The sequence below is a fragment of the Homo sapiens genome, chromosome 7 (genome assembly GCF_000001405.40).
Source record: "Homo sapiens chromosome 7, GRCh38.p14 Primary Assembly".
Taxonomy (NCBI): Eukaryota; Metazoa; Chordata; class Mammalia; order Primates; family Hominidae; genus Homo; species Homo sapiens.
The window spans coordinates 98,728,596-98,734,426 of record NC_000007.14 but is presented as its reverse complement, the minus strand read 5'-3'; the positions used below and the strand labels follow the sequence as shown (position 1 = coordinate 98,734,426).

At 49.0% G+C, this 5,831-nt stretch overlaps 1 annotated feature.

Annotated features, from left to right (window-relative positions):
* Positions 3,717-4,216: an enhancer, noted in NCBI's record as "H3K27ac hESC enhancer chr7:98359523-98360022 (GRCh37/hg19 assembly coordinates)". NCBI's record gives its function as "activates a minimal SCP1, AML or CMV promoter by ChIP-STARR-seq in primed H9 embryonic stem cells {active_cell/tissue: H9 hESC(primed)}" and the evidence as "EXISTENCE:reporter gene assay evidence [ECO:0000049][PMID:30033119]".

Genomic DNA, 5,831 nt, shown 5'->3' with positions numbered 1-5,831 from the left:
GTTCTTTTTCTTGTAGTAAGTCTTCAAAACCTGGCGTGCGTTTTACACTTACATCTCAGTTTGGACTGGCCACTTTTCAAGTGCTCAGTATCCCCATGTGGCCAGTGGCTATTGTATTCGAGCACAGAGCTCTTCAGAATCAAACACGGAAAACAGAGAAGCAGGGCATGAAGTGTCAGCAGTCAAACATAATCAAGGTGAGCAGAAAGGGAGACCCCCACTTTCCCCACCCCCACGGACAAAGGCAGAGGAGAATCCTGTAGGCCTGTGGTGGGATGGGACCTTACCACAGAGGAGGGCCAGGACTAAGGTGAGAGAAGTGAGGCACTCACCTCGGATTCACACTTCAAAGGGTGTCAAAAACTCAGCAGTCAAGATAAATAATATTTTCCTGCAGCAGGGCACAGTGGCTTATGCCTGTAATCCCAGCACTTTGGGAGGCCGAGGCAGGTGGAGGTCAGGAATTCGAGACCAGCCTGGCCAACGTGATGAAACCCTGTCTCTACTAAAAATACAAAAATTAGCTGGGTGTGGTGGTGGGTGCCTGTAATACCAGCTACTTGGGAGGCAGAGGCAGGAGAATTGCTTGAACCCAGGAGGCGGAGGCTGCAGTGAGCCAAGATTGTGCCATTGCACTCCAACCTGGGTAACAGAGTGAGACTCCATCTCAAAGTAAATTAATAAATAATATTTTAATGCAATATGCAAAAATTAAAAGAATCCACAAGGGAAAAACTATTAATATTTTAAATAAAGACAAAACCGAACCCTGCAATGTGCACCAATTCACTCCTATCTCCTCCAGTCTTGGCCCCGTTGGATCCATCTGCACAACAGTCCCATTTCTTTTCTCCCTTCCAGGCTTGTGGTTGGGTAGGATGACCCCAAACTTGGCTCTGGGGCTGAGTTTTGTGACCCAAGACTTTCCAATTAAAGTCAGCATTTGTATTAGTCATCTAATGCCATGTAAAAAGTTATCTTAAACTCAGTGGCTTAAAAGGCCAAAAACCTTCATTATCTCCTAGTTTTTGTGGGTCTGACATTTGGGAGTGGCTTAGTTGGGTAGTTCTGGCTTTGGAACCTCCCATGAGGTTGTAGTCATGTGGTTAGTCAAGCCTGTCATCGTCTGAAGGCTCAAATGGTGCTGGAGGCACCACTCCCAAGTTGGCTCCCTCATGTGGCTGGTGCTGGTACTGCTGTTAGTGGAGGCCTCAGTTCTCAGCATGGGCCTCTCCACAAGGCTGCTTGAGTATCCTTATGACATGGTGGTCATCTTTGCCCAGAGTGGTAGATCTAAGAGGACACAAGGTGGAGCTCCAATGTCCTTTCTGACTGGTCCTCAGAAGTGATGCTCCATCATTTCCGAAGCATACCCTGACCACACAGGTCAGCCGTATTCATGGAGAGAGGGAACTCCAGAGTATGAATACCAGGAAGCCAGAAAGACGAAAGACTTGGTGCCATCTTGGAAGCCAGCTATCATACTGTTTTAGTTTCAGGGGTGTGTGTGTGGCCCATGATGGTTCTAGAACCTTCTTTGAAATCCCTGGGAAAGAGGTGGTGTCCTTTACAGCAAGGCTGGTAACTGGATAGAAAACCTGCATAGCATTGACTCAAGAGAGCTTTCTCAGGCCCTCTCATGCCTTATGTATTTATTTAACATGGATTTTCTGATTATAAAAATAATATATATCATTTATAGAAATACTTGAAGATTCCTCCCAGTCTTGCCACTTAGAGAAAACCCTTGCTAACATTTTGGTATATTTCTTCTTTTCTTCTTCTTGATCTCTTGTCCATCCATGTCTGTATGACTTTCTCTCTCTTCCCACCACCCCCCACCCATCATCCTTTTTATAGCAAGACATTTAAGCTGGTCTCATTACTGCACATCTTCTGTGGCATAAAACTAAAAATAAAAACTAATGAGTCATGGTATCTTCAGGCTCTGGCTCCCCAGAAGGCTGGATAGTTGGGGGGCTTGGAGCAGCCTCGGGTGATGGCTCCTTAACAGCCACCTGGGCCGAGTCTACCTGCTTCTCCAACAGGGTGGCAGGACAGTTGTAGGTCCTTCTGCACCTGTTGGGGTCAATGTTGGAGCTCAGAGGCCCCAACTTGCATTATTATTATTCTTATTATCTGAGATGGAGTCTTGCTCTGTCGCCCAGGCTGGAGTGCAGTGGTGTGATCTCGGCTCACTGCAACCTCTGCTTCCTGGGTTCAAGCGATTCTCCAGCCTCAGCCTGCCAAGTAGCTGGGAATACAGGTGTGCGCCACTGTGTCTGGCTAATTTTTCTTTTCTTTTCTTTTCTTTTTTTTTTTTTTTTAGTAGAGATGGGATTTCACCATGTTGGCCAGGCTGGTCTTGAACTCCTGACCTCAAGTGATCTGCCTGTCTTGGCCTCCCAAAGTGCTGGGATTACAGGCTTGGGCCACCACGCCTGGCCTCCATCCTGGATTATTACGGAGGAAGTGGTATACCTATATCCAGGCCTTGGATGAGATGGCTGCGGGCCTGCCTGGGGGAGGTCTTGGGAGGGGACAACTGTGACACTGTGAGCCCCTGGGCCTGGGCCAGGCCCACCTTCCAGGAGAGTAGGTCTCTTATTCACCATTCCTTGGGGTCAGCTATAATGTGGGGACCCCTGGCACAAACCGGTTGCCTCTGATGGCAGCCAAATTGACCGAATTCCCTGACCCTGCATCTCATGAGGCTGCTTTCTCAGTTCCAACTTCCAGCAGCAGCATCCAGCCTGTGGCACGCCTCCCCCGGGGAATGGCCAAACTGACAGACAGACACACACACACACACACACACACACACACACACACACACACACACACCCCGCTTCGGGCCCTACCAGGGCAGGAATAGGCAGAAGGGGGTCCTGTCTGGCATAGGTGGAGCCTGGGGCTGCTGGTCTGGCCGGCTTTCCCCTTACCCAGCCTCTGCTCAACCCTGTGCTCCCTCCTCCTCCTCTTCCACAGTGGATGCCGAGCCACACCCTGCTCAGGCCCCACCAGCTCACGTCCTTGCCCCCGACAACCAAATCACTCACTCTCGCCCCTCCAGCTGGTCCCGGGAGCCTTGCTCACTAAGCACCATAATAGTTGTTATCATTGCTTACCATCATGGAAAGCACGACCTCAGCTCACAGCAGCCTCGACCTCCCAGGCTCAAGAGATCCTCCCACCTCAGAATCTTGAGTAGCTGGAACTCAGATGCACTAACATGCCCAGCTAATTTTTTTAAGTTTTCTTTTTTTTTTTTTTTTTTTTTTTGAGACAGAGTTTCGCTCTTGTTGCCCAGGCTGGAGTGCAGTGACGTAATCGAGGCTCACTGCAACCTCTCCCTCCTGGGTTCATGCCTCAGCATCCTGAGTAGCTGGAATTACAGGCATGTGCCGCCATGCCTGGTTAATTTTGTATTTTTAGTAGAGATGGGGTTTCACCATGTTGGTTAGGCTGGTCTCAAACTCCTGACCTCAAGTGATCCACCTGCCTCGACCTCCAAAGTGCTGGGATTACAGGTGTGAGCCACTATGCTCAGCCCTTTTTTAGTTTTTTTTTTTTTGTAGAGGTGGGGTCTTACTATGTTGCCCAGGCTAGTCTTGAACTCCTAACCTCAAACGATCCTCCCACCTCAGCCTCTCAAAGTGCTGGGATTCCAGGCATCAATCACTGTGCCCGGTGTATTTATTGCTTTTAATAACTCCATAGATGTATGAGAAGCCCTGTTTCATAGAGGAGGGAACCAAGGTTAAGTAACTTGCCCAGCTGAGCATCTAAGTGCTGGGACCCATATTGATGTCATCCTGACTCCAGTGTCAATGATCCTGTTAGATGTAACACGATGCTGCTTCCTACAGAGCCTGACCCAGCGACCACCTCCTCCAGGAAGCCCAACCCCCATCCCCGGAAGCCTGACCCCATGAGCCTGTCCTGCTGCCTCATTCCTCTGCTGCGCCTTCCTCAGTCCCATCTTCCCCTTTGGTGACCTTCATCTCCCTTCCTCTGTCTCTTTCTCCTGCATTCCTCTCTTGCCATGTTTGGTGTTAGGGGTTAACTGTGTCCCCTGCAAATTCATATGTTGAACTCCTAATCCCCAGTCCCTCAGAATATAACCTTATTTGGAAATCGGGCCTTTGAAAAGGTAATTAAGGCCGGGCGTGGTGGCTCACATCTGCAATCCCCACACTTCAGAGGCCAAGGCGGGAGGATTGCTTGAGCCCAGGAGTTCGAGACCAGCCTAGGCAACATGGCGAAACCCCATCTCTACCAAAAATACAAAAACTAGCTAGGCATGGTGGTGTACACCTGTAATCCCAGCTATTCGGGAGGCTGAGGTACAAGAACTGCTTGAACCCGGGAGGTGGAGGTTGCCGAGAGCCGACAACCTTGTTGCCTGGGTGACACTGAAAACTCCATCTCAAAATAAATAAATAAATAATAAATAAAATAAAATGAAAAAGAGGGAATTACATCCAAATGAGGTCTTTAGGGTGGGCCCCAATCCCACCTGACTGGTGTCCTTGTAAGAAGAGATTAGGACACAGACACACACAGAGGGACGGCCACGTGAGGACACAGGGAGAAGACGGCCGTCTGCCGTAACTCCAGAAGTTAGTGTCAGGCTAGGATTGAATTGCAGGAAACCCAGTTGGTGTGGGAAGACTGGAGCATTGGTTGATGTCAGAGAAGACACTACTTATTTGGTGTCAGGGAAAAAAAAATATCAGGCAGCTTCAGGAAATTAACCCCTTTGGGAAGGATATTAGGATTAGGATGTGAGAGCAGAGGGGAGATCTGGGGGCTCCAACATGCAGTGTCCACCCCAATCCCATGCCCTACTCTTCCCAGCTCTGTACCTCTGCACCCCCCAGCTCTTCCTAGAAAGGGCTGAGGCCATCTGCACTGAGTGGTGGCCTCATGGCATGTGAGGGACAGATCTGGAGATGCTGATGCTTCGTTGGTGAATTTCTTGACTCAATCTATCTCACAGCCCAGCCACAGGGCGGCCCGAGTCACCCTCTCCCTTTTGTTGCTGATGAGTTTCTGATGCAAACTCTACTGAATGTGTCTCACGTGGCACATATTTGGAAACTGGCTTTTTTCTGTTGCTCATTTAAAGCAGAATGAAGCCTTTCTTGGAATACAGGTTGCAATTATTAACTCACAGCCAAGGAAACATGGCCAAGATCTCGAGTTTGCAAGGAGCTAGGAGCTAAGCTATTAATTTGGAGTCTAGCATATCGAGGCTTGTGGTGACCCCACTGCTCCGTTCCTGCCATAAGACCCCATTCCTGCTCAAGTGGAGATCCATTTTTCATCCAAATAAATTCTCGGCTCCATCAGAATAGTAATATAACCGCCCCCACCCCCAATCTCAGCATGAGTTCTGGCCAGGAAAAGCAAAGAAATTTCTGCTCTCAAATTCTTCCCTTGAGCTAAGTAGACTAGCATTCATCAGGAAGCACACAGAATTTGTTTCCTTAAAAAAATTGGTTTGCTTTCCTTCTTGTTCATTTGCAGAAATAAGTTGGCTGCTAAAGGAGACAGGAAAGAACGAGGGAGAAGAAAAAAGGAAGGAAGGAGGGGAGGAAGAAGAGAGGGGAGGGAAGGAGAGAAGGAGAGGAAGGAGGGAGGGAGGGAAGAAGGAAGGGAAGGAGGAGCAGAAAAAAATGGGAGGGAGGGAAAGAAGAAGGGGAGGGAGAGGGGAGGAAGGAAAGAGGGAGGAAAGGAAGGAGGGAGGAAGGAAACAAGAATCTGGAAGAGGCAGAACTGTAGGAGTAGCAGAGAACATGTCTTCGGTTGCCAGAGTGGGTGCACGA